Source organism: Homo sapiens, chromosome 16, assembly GCF_000001405.40.
Source record: "Homo sapiens chromosome 16, GRCh38.p14 Primary Assembly".
Taxonomy (NCBI): Eukaryota; Metazoa; Chordata; class Mammalia; order Primates; family Hominidae; genus Homo; species Homo sapiens.
Genome location: NC_000016.10, coordinates 87,590,090 through 87,606,689, shown reverse-complemented (window position 1 = coordinate 87,606,689; position 16,600 = coordinate 87,590,090). Strand labels below are relative to the sequence as shown.

At 54.2% G+C, this 16,600-nt stretch overlaps 1 protein-coding gene and 1 long non-coding RNA gene across 5 annotated transcripts in view, besides 3 other annotated features; one reads left to right on the top strand and one right to left on the bottom strand.

The window, feature by feature from the left end:
- The window catches only part of JPH3 (junctophilin 3), a 96,322-nt gene extending 91,467 nt beyond the window's left edge, over positions 1-4,855 (bottom strand). The window contains exons 1-2 of one of the 4 annotated variants that reach the window (NM_001271605.3): positions 3,162-4,182; positions 2,062-2,601 (exon numbers count right to left, since the gene is read on the bottom strand). In NM_001271605.3, coding sequence (NP_001258534.1) covers positions 2,531-2,601; positions 3,162-3,543 — 453 coding nt within the window. In that variant the 5' untranslated portion in view covers positions 3,544-4,182 and the 3' untranslated portion in view covers positions 2,062-2,530. Of the gene's footprint in view, positions 1-2,061; positions 2,602-3,161; positions 4,183-4,759 lie in introns of those variants that run through there. The other 3 variants (NM_001271604.4, NR_073379.3, NM_020655.4) reach the window with 3 other exon arrangements.
- Positions 2,361-2,402: a repeat instability region, noted in NCBI's record as "repeat instability region; expansion of the CTG (CAG on opposite strand) trinucleotide repeat is associated with Huntington disease-like 2 (HDL2)". NCBI's record gives the evidence for it as "EXISTENCE:polymerase chain reaction evidence [ECO:0000082][PMID:11694876]".
- Positions 2,361-2,407: a tandem repeat, named in NCBI's record as "junctophilin 3 repeat instability region".
- On the top strand, positions 4,507-6,165 carry LOC124903750 (uncharacterized). Its single transcript, XR_007065172.1, has 2 exons — positions 4,507-4,678; positions 5,585-6,165. It is a non-coding gene; the product is annotated as an uncharacterized LOC124903750 (long non-coding RNA).
- Positions 5,081-5,643: an enhancer, noted in NCBI's record as "H3K4me1 hESC enhancer chr16:87634653-87635215 (GRCh37/hg19 assembly coordinates)". NCBI's record gives its function as "activates a minimal SCP1, AML or CMV promoter by ChIP-STARR-seq in primed H9 embryonic stem cells {active_cell/tissue: H9 hESC(primed)}" and the evidence as "EXISTENCE:reporter gene assay evidence [ECO:0000049][PMID:30033119]".

The window sequence follows — 16,600 nt, the reverse complement described above, 5'->3', positions numbered from 1 at the left end:
ATAGCCACGCACACCATTCTCAATTAATCCTCACCCACCTTACAGGTATTGTTATCAACCTTTTGTAAAGATGAAGAAACAAGCTCAGAGAGGTTAAGTAATCCAACCAGGGTCACAAAACAGGGCATGTAGGGCAGGGATTCAAGCCCAGGATGCAAGCTGGGGTTGTGACTGGAAGCAAGTGTGCCTGTACCCCACACCCCCAGGCCTCACCATGCAGACGGTAGGAGCTACTCAGCTCAATCAGGGAGTACCCTAAGGGGAGGACACACCTGGAGGAGGAGGAGTTGGCACAGGTGTCCCCAGCTGAAATTCCACACCAATTCCAGCTACATGTGGAATACGCTGGCCGCTGGTGCATCATTCATGAAAATCGCCATTTCCCCAAGTCAGCGCCCAGAGCTGGGCTGAGGTTCCAGAGCTTCGCTGATGGCTGCCCAATATTCCCCCACTTCTTGTGCAAAGGAAAAGTCAGAGTGGAGCTGGGGCCATTAACTCCTTCCTCACTGCGACATGGCTGTCACCACCCACCAGTTGACTGGGAAGGAGGCATGGAGGTCTCTGCCCCATTCTGGCGATCCCCACACCCTGCAGGCTCCTTCCATGGGCTGCCTGGGGACACTCAGTGCCATAATCACCCCCTTCCCAACAGGAAGCTGGGAGCCCTCCAGAAAAGTGGCCCAGATGTCCAGGCCCGAGTCCTCAAGACCAGAAGGGTCAATTCTATTTCCTGTCATGCCATGTTGCCAACCAAAAGGGAGAGCCGGCCATGAAGCTCCCCATCTGCATCCCTGCCTGGCTTTGCTTATGGGAGAGCTAAGAACCGCATACCCCTTGAGAGGATGTTGACAATCTGGGCTTCTTCCGGCAATGTGATGCAAGAACGAGGGGGGTTTGGTCCCAGACAGATCGGGGATCCCTGCAGCCAAAGGCTGGGACTCCTGAATCACAAAGCCCGGGCCTTACTGGCCTCATCTGTAGAATGGACATGATCAGGCAGGACCACAAGGAGGGGAAGGGCTTAGGGGAGCAGGATGCTGAGGGAGCTGTCTGGCTGGAGTGGAGAGCCCAGGGAAGTGGACCTATAGAGAAAAACATCTCTCCCCTTAACCCGTCAGATCCTAAACTACACGGCCAGCCACAGAATCAGATCCTTTCTTCCCTAAAAAGTCACAACATAATCGCCGCTCCTTCTCCCTCAAATGTAAGCTCCGTGAGGGCAAAGATCTGTGTCTGCTTTGCTCAGTGTGGTTTTTCCAAAGCCTAGGACACCTGGCTGTCTGCTTTGCTCAGTGTGGTTTTCCCAGAGCCTGGCACACCTGGCTCATAGCAAACATTCCATCAGTATTTGTTGAATGAAAGAAATGATTCCTCAGGACTCTGGAGATGTCTGAGGAGCGTGGGCAGAGTGGGGTGCTCAGCCTCACCCCCAGATATTCTGAGGAGTTTCAGAGACAACGAAAGCCCTGGCTCCTCTCGTCCCCATGCCCTGCGTGAGCCCGGCCTGCACAGTCCTCCTGGAGCAGGCTCAGCCAGGAGCACCTCTGGAGGACAGGTCTGCAGAGCCTCCTGGCCAGAGCCTGGGGGTGATAGCAGCCCCTGGGCTCCAAACAGCCCAGCTGGAAGCGCCAGGCTGCCTGCCTGTCTCAGCCACCCACATCTGCTGCCCGGGCCTCCCTGTGCCTGCACGCGCGCGCACACACACACACAGGCCCACAGCCTGGAACCAAGGGAGCACCGTCTGCTCCCGCCCGGCCCTCAGCGCCCCAGGGTCAGGGAAGCTCTCCAACCTGCTCCATGAAAACAACAACGGCACAGAAAAGGCCGCCTGAGACCGGGGCTGGGCACGGCTTTGACAGGCAGGAGCATTATATAATTAACTGCCCCAGACTCCTCCTCCTCTTCGGGTAATAACGAACCCTGCTTTTCAGTTGCATAAGCCAAAATAATAATTACTCTCCAGCCCCCTGCCACTCCTGGATGTGGCCGTGGAGCAGGTGTTCCGAGCTTTCTTCATGAGACTCGGAGGCAGCGAGCGGGCGGGGAGGACTAGAGCACACGTACGCTCAGGATTTTTATTCTCGGCAGAAGCACAAGTCATTGCTGCGTCTCACTCCCTTCCCAGGCATCCATGCCTGAAACAGGCGAGCCGCCCGAGGGAGGCAGAGGACCCAGTGCCTCTGAGGATAAGCTCCCACATGGGAGTGGACTGGTCGGGGAAGCCAGTTTGTTTGGGGTCTGGCTTCCAGGAAAGGACCGGCTCCATGCGTGTCAGGTGCACTGAGGAGTGGATATCGGAGAGTCCAGGCAGGCGGGCAGCTGCAGAGCCGGCCAAGGTTCCCTGCACAGAAACCATCTTACAGCAGCAGCAGCAGCAGCAGCAGCAGCAGCAGCAGCAGCAGGCAGCTCCCTGGCTTCCGGCCCCGGCTCTGCCCCGAATGCGGTGGCATCTTAGAATGAAGGCACAGATCGATTCCCTCAACTAATGGTGAAAACGATGCAGCCACTGAAAGACGAGATTCCTGGGCTCTCACTGAGCAGATGGGCCTCCCTCCTCCCTCCAGCAGCCTGCTTCGACAGCGCTAGTCCGCGTCCAACCACCTAGAAGTGTACTGCCTGGCTGTTTTGGTTCGGGTTGGCATCCCCCGCCCCTAGCGCTCCCCATCACTCCCTTTCTCTCGGCTTGGGCAGATTCGGGGCTGAGGAAGGCCCTCGGGCGCCGCAGGAACACCAGAAGCGAAGCTGGGGCCTGATCGAAGGGCGGCCTCCAGGGTGGGGGGCAAAGCCAACAAGGGGAGGGGCCCTTCTCCCAGCCCCCTCTGCCCTTGCTGGGTTCCCCAGGGCCGCGGGCCCAGCCTGGCCCTTCCCGCAGGTCTCCGGCCTGCTGTGTCCGACGCACGGAGGCTCTGCTGGGCCCCGCCTGGCTCTGCCCCTGGAAAGCCCCCAACACCCTTCAGCTGGCACAGGGGCACTGTCCCCACCAGGCAGCGGGGCAACCTGTAGCCAGGAGCCGCCGTGGCTTCCAGGGAAGCCCGGGAAAGGCCCCTGGTGCCCACGGCCCAACCGGAGGACGCAGCTCAACTTCCCCAGAGATCCACAGAAGGGGCGCGATCGGAAGCACGTCCCTCCCGCCCCGGCCCGGCCCGGCCCGCGGCACCTACCTCCGTCCGAGTAGGTCTCGGTCCCGTAGCCGTCCTGCAGCCCGTTGCTCCAGGTCCCTTCGTATTTGGCCCCGTTGCCCGCGCACTCCCGCACCCCGTAGCGCCCCTTGAATCCGTGCGTCCACTCGCCCTTGTACACCCACTTCCCCTTGCTCTCCAGGCCGATGCCGTGGCGCTTGCCCTGCGCCCAGGTGCCCTGGTACGTGTTGCCGCTGGGCCAGGTGTAGACGCCCAGCACCTCGAAGCCGTGGCTCCACGAGCCGGTGTATTCGCCTTGGCCCTTGGGGCCGGTGCAGACGCCATGGCCGTGCGCCTTGCCGTCCTCCCAGCCTCCACAGTAGGACCCTCCGTCGTCAAAATTAAACCTGCCCCCACTGGACATGCATGTAACTCGGTTCCAGATCCCGCAAACGGTGAAAACGGACTCAGGCGATCGACACAGCAGAGTCGCGGCCGCCGGCGGCCCTGGGTCGCGAGCGTTTTCCGGAGGAGAGGAGGACGCGGCCCCGGAGCGCGGTCTCGGGCGCGGGCGGCCGCGGCGCCGGCTCCGGAGGAATTTCAGTCAATCGGGGGCGATTATTCCTTTTCGAGCTGCGCCGCGGAGCCTGACCAGCGTCTCGCGCTCCCGCTGGAGACAGGACCGGAGGGGAGGGGGAGGGGAGGAGGGAGGGAGGGGGCAGGAGCGGCGGCGGCGGGGCCCGCGGCTCCACCTCAGCGGCGAGAGGGCCCCTCGCCGGCAGCCCCGCGGGGAGGGCGCCGCGCCGAGGCCGGGCGGGGGGCAGCTCAGGCCCGGGCCGCGGCCCCCCACCTGCGGCTGCCGCGCTGCGGGCGCCCGAGGGCGGCGGCGGGGCCCGCGGGCGGCGGCGGCGGCACGGGCGGCGGCGCTGGCGGCTGCACCATATTGGGGGCCGCGGGCCGGGCGCGGGGCGGCGGCGGCAGCAGCAGCAGCAATGCGGCGGCTCGGGCGGCGGCGGCGGCGGTGGCGGCGGCGGCGTGCGCTCCGGGCCCGGCTCGCGCGCTCGGGCCGCGCGGCGCGCGCCCGCACCCCGCCCGCCCGCGCGCCCCCGCCCGCCCCCCGCCCCCCGCCCCCCGCCCCCGCCCCCGCCCCCGCCCCCGGAGCGCGGCGGTCCCAAGAGGGGCGCGGCCCAGCAGGCTAGGGCGCGGCGCGCGGGCGGGGACCCCGGGCGCCCCGCCCTCCGCGCCCCCAGCCCCGCGCTCCCCGCCCTGGGCTTCCCCGGGGCCCCCGCCGGACTGGAAACCGGGGTCCAGCCGGGGCGCCCCCGCCCCCTCCGGGAGTGGGATTTAAAGGCACAGGAACTGCGTCATGGGAAGGCGCGCAGCACTCAGGGCGCCCTCGGCCCCCTCCCGGGAGCTGGGCGGTGAGGCCTGCAGAGCAGGACCTGCCAGCTGAGCGCCCCTACCCTCGCCCCTGCCCGCCCCCGCGCCTCGCCCCTCCCGCCGGGCTCGGATCTGCCCCGCCTGCCCCTGACTCGACTGAGGCCCTTTGCAAACCACAGGTGGTTTTCTCCGGTGACAAACAATGCTTCCTTCTTCCTTCCGGGCAGCTTGGGTCCAAGAGTGGGGGGAGGGGGGCTTACCCCAGAAAACAGGGATTTGGCGAGTCCCTCTCCCCTATAAATTGAGTGAGAGTCGGGACACACGCGTGTATCTTGGAGCAAAGTCACCCGAATTCCGTGCGCCCTGCGCCCTGGCCAACAGGTAGCGCCCCCCCACTCGGGGAACGGTCGCGCTTTTGGGGAGCAAAGTGGGACCGCCATTCGGGCGTTTCTAGGTCTCTCTCCAGACATACTCTCACCCTCCGCCCCTCTTCCCACGCACAAGAGAGAGTCTGATTCTTGGATCCGAGCATCCTGGGATCCATTTAAAATGCATTTCCTGGACCATAAATCCTCAGGCAGAAGCCGGCGTCCCCAGCCCTCCTGAAATGCGTGCGGGAAATGGCAGCAGACCGGTGCAGTGGGCTGATGGGGGTGTGGAGGCTGCCCAGGGTCCTCGCTCCTGGGAGTGTGGGCCGGTGACCGCAGCGCGGTGAGCCAGAAACTGCAAGCCAGGCCTGGAGCCTGAGATTAGGACAGGAGAAGAGGTGCGATTCGGAGCCTCCAATCAGCCAGGAGCCCTGCTCAGATCTTCCCCTGTCCGAGAGAATCAGGATGGTCCCCACTCTTGGCTCACGGGGCTCTCAGAAAAATCAGCCCCTCCTGGGAGTCCCAGAGTTCAACCTCAGTCTCTTGCCTTGGGCACCAAAGCTCCCTCCCCAGAGTACCAGCAGCCAGGAGGACAGTCACCTCCTCATACACCCACTGTCAATGAGGAACATTTAGGGCGGTCGGCTTTGTTTTGTTTTGTGCAGTTACAGTGATTCATTGAGCTTTCTAGCGCTGTCTCCCTGTGCCCCTCTACAGAAGTTCTCTAAATGTCTGCGGTGGCATCATTGGACCAGCTACGTCTTGGACTTTATTGGAAGCTGCCAAATTGCTTTCCAAACACCTGGAGCAACTGACCTCTCACCCTTCAGTGTGCCTGGGTTTGTGGTTCTCTATTTCCTGGCCAGCACTGGTGTCCTCAAACTTCTGATTTTCTTTCCATTTATTTTACTTTGTTCATCTAAATGGGTATGAAATAATATCTCTGGGCTGTTTCATGTCCATGGAAATTTCTCTGTTGTAAATGTGTGGGCCAAAGGAACTGCACCTTGTCCTCAAGAGATTCGGGTCGAAACCTTGGCTCCGGGGCCCACCAGCAGTATGGCTTTGGGCAGTCACCTAATGTCCCTGAGCTCAGTTTTCTCATCTGTAAAATGGAGATGGCAGAGTTCCCATAGGGTTACCGTGGGAATTCAAAAGCTAGGCGCCCAGCACTCAGTAAGCGCTCGGGAAGTGGGAAGTAATGTTATTGGAAGCCAGCCCCCCAGGGAGGGTCATGGATTCCTGCATGGAGACACCCAGCCCTCTGCCTGTTGAAATAAACATTGCCACCACTCGTATGTTCTACTTTTCATTTCTTCCATTTTATTTCCAACCATTTTGCTGCTGAATCAGCAGCCCTCCTTCACACAAGCAGTGGATTGCAACTGAGATCCTATTGAAACACGGTGGTTGCTTCCAAGCAGTTACTGGTCAGCACCTTCCACCTTTGGCCAGTGTACACTCCGCTCCCTTGCAGTTCCAAGACCCCCACCTCCAACTGACCCTCTCTCATCTCCTGCAGTCAGTTACTCCAGCGGTGACAGGCTCTAGTCTCTGAAATGCAGATATTACAGGCATTTGTTCTGTGCAATTTGGAAATCACCGCCCTCCCGATAAAGTAGGGCTGGCAGTATTGATTTCACTTTGGAGGAAACTCTCCAAGCCTATAAACGTAGTACCACCCAGCCGTTTAAAAACAAAAACCAGGGAGAAGGGTAAAAAAGCTGTAACCCACATGTGAGCCAGGCACTAGGATGAAGACAGCACATTAGTCATCTCATGGACTCAGGTGATTTGGAATTACACTCTCCTTTTTAAAAGAATCACTTTTCCCCACCAACGTAAAGTGCCTTGCCAGAGGGAAAATAATGACTGGGCAGGATTCGAGCCCAAGTCTGCCTGGCCTTCCAGCCTGCACCCTTTCTGGCCTCCAGGCATGGGTCCTTGCTGTCTCTTTTGCCTGGTGCCTCTTCCCATGACAGTAGAGCTTTCTGGTCTCAGCTCCAGAGAGGCTTCCTGACTAGTGCAGAAAGAAAGCTCCCCCTGCATCCCCACAAAAGCCTATTAATCTCCTTCAAAGAACTGAGCCACGATCAACTTATCTGTGCTTGCCTTCTTGTCTTTGCCTGTGTTTACCATAACACTGTGAAATGTCCACAAGATCCCCCATTCCACGTGATCTTCTTCCAGTGTGGTGTTGACACCCCTCCTGTTGAGGGAGTGCTTTGGGGGAGCAAAGTGGGACTGCCATTTGGGCGTTTCTAGGTCTCTGTTGAGAGGTGGGCTCTGCATTCCCTTCCCCTGAATCTGGGCCAGTGTGTGATTATCACAGAAGTGACAGGATGTGACTTCAAAGGTCAGTTCATAAACAGCAACACAGCTTCTGCCTCATGCTCTTGGGGTGCTCAAGCTTGGAACCAAGTTGCCATGATGTAAGGAAGCTCAAGCAGCCCCTGGACGTGCCAACAAGGAGAGATACAGGGTCCTCCAACCCACAGCTCCAGCCAGACTCCCAGCCAGCAGCCAGCAGCATTTGACAGCCATAAAAGTGTACCATCTTGAAAGTAGACCCTCCAGACCCCAGGCAGGTCACCCCAGCTAAAGCCACATGCAGCTGAGACAAGCGTTCCCCATCACATCTTGTCAGAATTTCAATTTTCTGAAAAAAAAAAAAAAAAAAAAGAAGATTGTTGTTTTAAGCCAGGCATCACACAAACCATAACCCAGAGGCCAAATCTAGTCCACTGCCTATTTTCATAAACAGAATTTCACTGAAGCACAACCATGGCCATTCATTTGTGTGTCTAGAGTGGCTTTTACACTGCAACATAAGAGTGGAGTCGTTGTGACAGACACCATATAGCCTACAAAGCCTAAAATATTTACCATCTTGTTCTTTACAGAAAACGTTTACCACTTTTTGCTCACGGGGCTCTCAGGAAAATCAGCCCCTCCTGGGAGTCCCAGAGTTCAACCTCAATCTCTTGGCTTGAGCACCAAAGCCGCCTCCCCAGAGTACCAGCAGCCAGGAGGACAGTCACCTCCTCATACACCCACTGTCAATGAGGGACATTTAGGGCGGTTGGCTTTGTTTTGTTTTCTGCAGTTACAGTGATGCAGTGAGCTTTCTAGCACTGTCTGCCTGTGTATTAGTCTTCAAGGGCCGTCATAACAAAATACCGCAGACTGGGTGACTTCAACAACAGAAATGTCTTATTGTTTTTGAGGCTAAAAGTCCAAGATCAAGTTTCTGGCTGATTCAGTCCCTGGTGAGAGTTCTCTGCCCAGCTTGCAGATGGCCACCTTCCCACTGTGCCACGACCCAAGCCTCTCTCTTTTACTGGGCCCTACATCTCTGCTCTCAGCCAGCCTGCCTTATGTTTCTGCCCTCCATAGACCAGCTTTCTCTGCTGCAATCTGCTCTTCCCATCCTAACAGTCACTAACCTGGACTCTGGAGATCCTGATTCCTGAGTCTTAGGAGAGACATTCAGCCTGGGTCAGGTGTCTCTTTCTGACTCGATTAGCTGTGGTCAAGTAGTGGGGTCCAGGGTCCTCCCTTGTGATGGCAGAAAGATATGATCAGCATTTCTAGTACAAGTAGAGGAAGCAAACTGAGCCAAAAATTGGGATATGGGGTCTGTCGATAAGACATGATTTAACATTGAGAATGGAAGAGCTTTGAAAAAATGTTGAGCATGATTTTACTTCCTTACTTACTAAGATCTAGAACTATCCATGACTCCAGATAGCACTGTTACTGGTCATTCAATTTCCAGATGAAGATAATTATGAAAAGAGAGGTGGGAGGAAGGAAGAAGAGGGGGATAAAGCAGAAGTAATTTGGATGGATTAGCAAGAAGGAAAAATAAACTTTGTGATGGTGATGATGATATAAAGGATAGTGAAGATGATGATGTGTTAGTGATGATGATGGGGATGATGGCGGTGATGGTGATGATGGTGGTGATGATGGTGTTGGTGATGGTGATGATGGTGTTAGTGATGATTTGATGATGGTGGTGATGGTGATGATGGTAATAATGGTAATGATGATGATAGTGATGGTGATGGTGGTGATGATGGTGATGATGGTGATGGTGATGATGGCGATGGTGATGAGGATGGTGATAATGTTAGTGATGATGGTGATGGCGATGGCGGTGGCGATGGTGGTGATGGTGATTGTGATGATAGTGATGATGACGGTGGTGATGATGGTTATGGTGATGATGATGATGGTTATGGTGATGATGATGATGGTGATGATGGTAATGATGACAGTGATGGTGATGTAATGGTGGTGATGGTGATGATGGTAATGATGGTGGCGATGGTGGTGATGATTATAATGATGGTGATGGTGGTGGTGATGATGGTGATGATGGTGATGTGATGGTGGTAATGGTGATGGTGGTGATGATAGTGATGGTGATGATGGTGATAATGGTAATGATGATAGTGATGATGGTAATGGTGGTGATGGTGGTGATGATAGTGATGGTGATGATGGTGTTGGTGGTGATGATGGTGATGATTATAATGATTATAATGATGGTGATGGTGGTGATGATGATGGTGATAGTGATGATGATGGTAGTGATGATGGTGATGACAGTGATGATGATGAGGATTATGAGAATGGTGATGATGGTAGTGATAATGATAGTGATAATTGTTACATGTATGTGCCTGGCTCTGTGCTGAACCTACATTATCATATCATATTTAATCCTAAAGCAACTTTATGAGGCTGGTAGTATTATTATCCTCATTTTACAGATGAGGAAATCTGAAGCTCATAAAGGCCAACTCACTTATCTAAGGTGGAAGTGAAGAAGCAGTTGACAGCACAGCACAGGCTTGCAGCCACCACACTCTTCTGTCTCAAGTGTGTAAATGTCCCCTCGCTGGGAAAAAATGAGTTATCTGTGGCCAATCCACATATTTGTATAATTTAATGAATACTTAAATAGTAAATGCCCAGATAATGACCACCCAGGTCAAGGAATTAGACATTATTGGAACCCCCAAAACCCACTGTGTGTCCCTCTCCAATCATAACCTTCTCCTCCCTCCAGACAGAGCCATTCACCTGAATTTTTCATCAACTTTGCTTTTCTTTATAATGTTACCACCTGTCTATGTGCATCTTAAGCACTGTGGCCTAGTTTTTCCTGTTTTTGAGCTTCGTGGGACTGGAATCATACCAAATGCATTCTTTTCTGCCCAACATCATGCTTGAGATTCACCCATGTGGCTGGGTTCCTTAGGTTCATTTGTTCTCTTTGCTGTATAATATTCCATCCTATGAATATCTCCAATATGACTGAGCCCTTCTAGTGTAGGTAGACATAAGAGTTCCTTATGGTTTGTGGCTGTTTTTATTAAAAACAACTGCTTTTGGCCAGGCGCAGTGGCTCACGCCTGTAATCCCAACACTTTGGGAGGCCGAGGCGAGCAGATCACGAGGTCAGGAGATCGAGACCATTCTGGCTAACATGGTGAAACCCCCGTCTCTACTAAACCCATAATACAAAAAATTAGCCGGGTGTGGTGGCGGGCACCTGTAGTCCCAGCTACTCAGGAGGCTGAGGCAGGAGAATGGTGTGAATCCAGGAGGCAGAGCTTGCAGTGAGCCTAGATCGCACACTGCACTCCAGCCTGGGCAACAGAGTGAGACTCTGTCTCAAAAAAAAACCAAAACAAAACAAAAAACTTTCACTTTCTTGTCTGTGTATTCTGGAATGTGTGCACACATCTCTTTACCGCAGAACACTCATTGGCTCTCAGCCTTCACCATAAACACCCTCTCCAGGGATCCCCTGGAGACACTTTAGGTGTCTCTGAGCTCTGTCCGCACCCTGTGCACCCCCATTATAGCATATACTGCTCTGCCATGTAACTATCTTCTAACTCATGGTCTCGTCCACTCAAGTGGGGAGAGGGGGGTGCTGCCAGATTTCTCTTCTTCTCTCTCCTTCTCTCTTCTCCTCCTCAGCACCTGGCACAATGTCCGTCACACAGTAGGGATGCAATCGTTACATTTTTGAGTGAATGATAAATGAACAAACAAATACATGACTGGGAAGTCAGCCTCCTCTGAACATTTGTTGAATCAATGCTTGTCACATAAAGTGAAGGGTGCCGTCTGAAAGTGCTTTTAAGACACTCAGCTGTGGCTATTTCTCTGATCTATGTTTTGACCTTGTTTGACATGAGCTGATATTGCCAACATGGCACTTGGGGACGGCTGTAGAGAGAGTTACAGAGGTCCCACTCACCCCTTCCTGCTCAGCAGATGATGCCAAACACATAAAGACATCCAGACCGGGCGCGGTGGCTCGCACCTGTAATCCCAGCATTTTGGGAGGCTGAGGCGGGTGAATCACCTGAGGTCAGGAGTTTGAGACCAGCCTGGCCAACATGGTGAAACCCCGTCTCTATTAAAAATACAAAAATTAGCCAGGCATGGTGGCACGGACTTGTAGTCCCAGCTACTCAGGAGGCTGAGGCATGAGAGTCGCTTGAACTCAGGAGGCAGAGGTTATAGTGAGCTGAGATGGCACCTCTGCACTCCAGCCTAGACGACAGAGTGAGACTCCATCTCCACAATTAAAAAAAAAAGAAAGAAAGAAAGAAAGAAAAGAAAAAAGAAAAAGACATCCAAAGAAACGCTTCCCCAGATGGATTGCTTTTATGTCTTCCCTCCTCCTTGGTGGCTCCCAGGGCTAACAGGTATGATTAAACTTCATTAGAATGAGGCTGCCAGTGGTTTCCTCAAGCCTTTATCTTACCTACCGTGGATGTGACTCCCCCTGGAAGGTCACTTACCTACCGTGAATCCGTCCATCCCTGTGGAAGGCCACTGAGCAGTGTGGGCAGCCGGAAGAGGTTCGTGAATCTGCTGCTTCATCCAGGAAGGCAACGACAGTTGCAGAGTCTGGGCAAGGCTTTGGGAAGGGGCTGAGCTACTCCAGGAGGGTGGGTGCACCCAAAAGTCAAAGCCAGGGTGGAAAGGCTCAGAAATTGGGGAGATGAACCCAAAAGTCATCACAGTGCACTGGAGCCCTGGCCAGTGTAGACCAGCTTCCTGCAGCGTGCAGGCCAGCACAGGCGAGTTCCCACCTGTCCCTTCAAGGCAGGTTTTCATCAGTGCTCACTGGCCTCAGGATAACGCCCGGTCTCCTTCACATGGATCCCAAGGCTCTCCAGAGCTGCTGTCTGCCGAGCCCTCCTGCCTCCCTGTTGTCACCCCATGCTCCAGTTCCCATATCCCACCTGCTTGAGCTAGCTTCTGCCCGTACATACTCTGTTCCCTCTGCCTGGTCTATTCATTCATGTCTCTCCTTCTCCGGGAAGCCTGCCCGGCCCCCCACCCCACCCAAGGCCAGGATGGGTGCTCCTGCCCTGTGCTCCCATCACCTCTCGGGCCATTTGTATCGGCACCCCTGTGGCCGGGTTTGTGTCATCATCAGTGCTTGTCACTGAATGCTTCAAGCAGGGACCAGGTCTCCTGTGTTCATGTTCTCTCCCCGGGGCAGTAAGTGTCTGTATACACTAGGTACTCAATAAATGTGTGTGGGTGACCAAATGAATGAATATGGTGGTGAAGAATTTTCTTGGGATCACAGAGCAGCTGAGAATAACAAGGGACTGAGGACAGCTCCCTTTCTCTCCCAGAACTTCCCCAATCTTGCCTTCTGCCTGGATGGGCCGGGAGGGCCTCGCCTCCTCCTCCCCTGTGCCAGCGCAGCCTGCAGGGGGCTTGGGTTGCCCAGGGGCCACTCCCCTTTACTGGGGCAAAAGCACTCAGGTGTCTCCGTAAACTCAGCCTTTGTGTGGGATGGGCTTGGCCTGGGCGCTGACAACCTGTTTCAGACCCTGGATCCAGCAGTACCTGAAGCCAAAATACCTCTGAACTGACCCATTTACCAAGGAATAGGCACCAACAAATTCCCTTTTGGCCTAAATCACTTTGAGTTGGATTTTCTAGCATTTGAAAATGAAAAACCTTTTTTTTTTTTGAGGCGCAGTTTCGCTCTTGTTGCCCAGGCTGGAGTGCAGTGGCGCAAGCTTGGCTCACCACAACTTCCGCCTCCCAGGTTCAAGCGATTCTCCTGCCTCAGCCTCCTGAGTAGCTGGGATTACAGGCACGCGCCACCACACCCAGCTGATTTTGTATTTTTAGTAGAGACGGGGTTTCTCCATGTTGGTCAGGCCGGTCTCAAACTCCCAACCTCAGGTGATCTGCCTGCCTCGGCCTCCCAAAGTGCTGGGATTACAGGTGTGAGCCACCACGCCTGGCTGAAAATGAAAAACTTTTAAAAAACATTTATTGAGATATAATTTACATTCCACACAGTCCGCCTGTTTGAAGTGTACAGTTCAATGTTTTCAGTGATTCATCAAGTTGTAAACTATCACCACAACGTCATTTTACCTTTTTACTACCCCAGAAAGAAACCCCATACCCTGCCAGGTGCAGTGGCTCACGCCTGTAATCCCAACACTTTGGGAGGCTGAGGCAGGCAGATCCCTTGAGCCCAGGAGTTAGAGACCAGCCTGGCCAACATGGTGAAACCCTGTTTCTACCAAAAACAAAAAATTAGCCGGGCGTGGTGGCGCGTGCCTGTGGTCCCAGCTACTCGGGAGGCTGAGGTGGAAGAATCACCTGAGCCCAGGAGGTCAAGGCTGCAGTGAGCTGTGATGGCACCACCGCACTCCAGCCTGGGCGACAGAGTGAGACCCTATCTCAAAAAAGGAAGGGAAAGGACAGGACAGGAAAGGGGAAAGGAAAGAGGAGAGGAGAGGGAGGAGGGGAGGGAAGGGGAGGGGAGGGGGGGAAGAAAGGAAGAGAGGGAGAGGAAGGAAGGAAGGAAGGAAGGAAGGAAAGAAAGAAAGAGGGCAAGCCCATACTCATTAGCCGTCCCTCCCTCCCCCTTCCCCCACAGTGCCCTCAGCCCCTGGCAGCCACTCACCTGTTTCCTGTTTCCCTGGATTTCTTAGTTCCAGAGATTTCCTGTGAATATAATTCTGTGATATGTGATCTTCTGTGTTGGCTTCCTTCACTCAGCGTGCTGTTTTTGAGGTTCCTCCGTGTTGCAGTGTGCATTGGTGCTTTCGTCCCATTTCTGTCCAGTTAATCTTCCACTGTGTGGCTGGAGCACACTTTGTTCATCCATTCATCAGTGGATGAAATGTGGGGTGTTTCCAGTTTGGGGCTATGATGAACATGCACGTACAAGTGTTTGGGTGACACACGTTTTCAATTTTCTTGGGTATATACCGAAAAGTAAAACTGCCAGGTCATATGGTAACTGCGTATTTTACCTTTTAAGGAGCTGCCAAACTGTTTCCACTGGGGCTGCATCATCCTTCCTTCCCACCAGCAGCATACAGGGGTTCCAGTTTCTCCACATCTTCTTTGACACTTCTTTTTGTCTGTCTCTCTGATGACAGCATCCTCGCTGGTGAAGGGGCGTCTGTCCAGCATCCTTGCCGGTGTGAGGGTGTCCATCCAGTCTCCTCACCGGTGTGAGGGCGTCCATCCAGTGTCCTCACCAGTGTGAGGGCGTCCAGCATCCTTGCCGGTGTGAGGGCGTCCATCCAGCGTTCTCGCCAGTGTGGGAGCATTCAGCATCCTTGCCGGTGTGGGGGCATCCAGCGTCCTCGCTGATGTGGGGGTGTCCAGCGTCCTCACTGGTGTTGGGGCATCCAGTCAGGTTGCGATTTGCACTCCCTGATGATGAGAGGTGCTGAGCATCTTTCCAAGCGCTTGTTGGCCATCTATATGTCCTCTTTGGAGAATTACCTGTTCAGATCCCTTGCCTATTTTATTTTATTTTGCTCCAAGTTATTGGTAGATGCTTTGCCCATTTTAAAATTTGCACTTTTATTACTGAGTTATAGGTGTTCTTTTTTTTTTTTTTTTTGAGACGGAGCCTCATTCTGTTGCCCAGGCCGGAGTGCATTGGCGCCATCTCGGCTCACTGCAAGCTCCTGGGTTCACCCCATTCTCCTGCCTCAGCCTCCCGGGTAGCTGGGACTACAGGCGCCCACCACCTCACCTGGCTAATTTTTTGTATATTTAGTAGAGACAGGGTTTCACGGTGTTAGCCAGGATGGTCTTGATCTCCTGACCTCGTGATCCGCCCATCTCAGCCTCCCAAAGTGCTGGGATTACAGGCATGAGCCACCGCGCCTGGCCTGAGTTATAGTTCTTTATACATTCTGGATACAAGTATCTTATCAGATGTGTAATTTGCAAATATTTTCTTCCATTCCGTGAGTTGTCTTTTCACTTTCTTCATGGTATCCTTTGCAGCACAAATTTTTAATTTCAATGAAGCCCAATCTAAAATCTTTCTCTTTTTTTAGCTCCTTCTTTGGATGTTGTGGCTGCAGGAGCCTGTGTGATACACTCACCTTCTTTGTGAGGACGCTCACCCGCATCCATCCTCCTCTGCTCCGTGCCCTCACGGCCCTGTGAGGACAGGGAATACAGCGTGTGATGCTGGCTGCCGCCATTTCAGATGTGGCAGCCCTGCCTCTCAAATGAGAGTCTTGTGCCCTGAGGATAGGGCATGTGTTGGAACCAAGACATCAGTGTCATCCCACCCCCATGACCTGTTCTTGGAGACGGTGACTCAGGAGTGTGGACAGACCAGGATAGACCCGGCTCTGAGACACTCACTCCTGCCCCACACTGTCGCCAGAGCCGATGGGACATCCGAGGGCTTCCCGGAGGAAGGGCTGGTCCCAGGATGGCCATCGGGGAGTGGAAGACATGGTTGAGGGGGAGGTCACAGAATGAGAGCTCAAGTGGAACCCCACCCCTTTGGGGTCCAAAGACCGTGGAGCTCCCTTAAGCCTCAGTAACTCTCCCACCCCATGACGGCTTCTGTGGGCTCCACCTTATCCAAGAACATGTCTTGCCTTGGGCTAGCAGGAGTGAGTCTCTGCCCTTCGCCAGGTGGGGAGCTGGGTGGGATCAAGGCTCTTCTTTATGCTCCGACCCCCGCCCCACCCACCCTTGCTGCCCCCATACCAGACCCTCCACCCTGAACATTCAACAGCTCACTCAGTATTCATCCAAGAAACATGAGGTCAGGGCCGGGAATGCAATTAAGAATAAAACGACGCAGACTTCACCTGTGTGGCTGGCGCGTGACACCACTGTAGAAGCTCAGTGCGTTCATTTGGCCAGTGGCGAGTGTAGTTGCTTCTGACGTGAAGGCTGGGTCTGGCTGGCAAGCAGTCACGTCAGTTTCAGAATCTCCTAACTGAATAAGAACTAAAGAACTTCCGGAAGCCCGAAGTGAGCTCTGAAGATTTGTGTTCAGTCCTGACTCTGCCCTTTGCTAACTGTGTGGTCTTGGGCAAGTCACACAGCCTTTCTGAGCCTGAGTTGTCACCTGTCAAATGGGAAGAAGAAATCACCCCCTCCTCTCTGCACAGAATTAGGTTGTGTGCACATTGTGAATGTAAGTGACTGTCCCTGTTAACAGCAGCAGTCCCTCCTGTCCATGCACAACTGTGTACCAGGACTAAGGACCGAGCGTGACTCCACTGCATCCACATAGCCCCGCTCGGGAGGCACGACCAGGGCTAAGCACGACTGCGCTGCGTCCACACAATCCCACTTCGGAGGCACCCCCAGGAAAGGGAACAGAAGCCTCAAGAGGTGGGAATGGCAGAGCCACTGGCCTGGAAGCTCTGTGTGTTTCCTGGA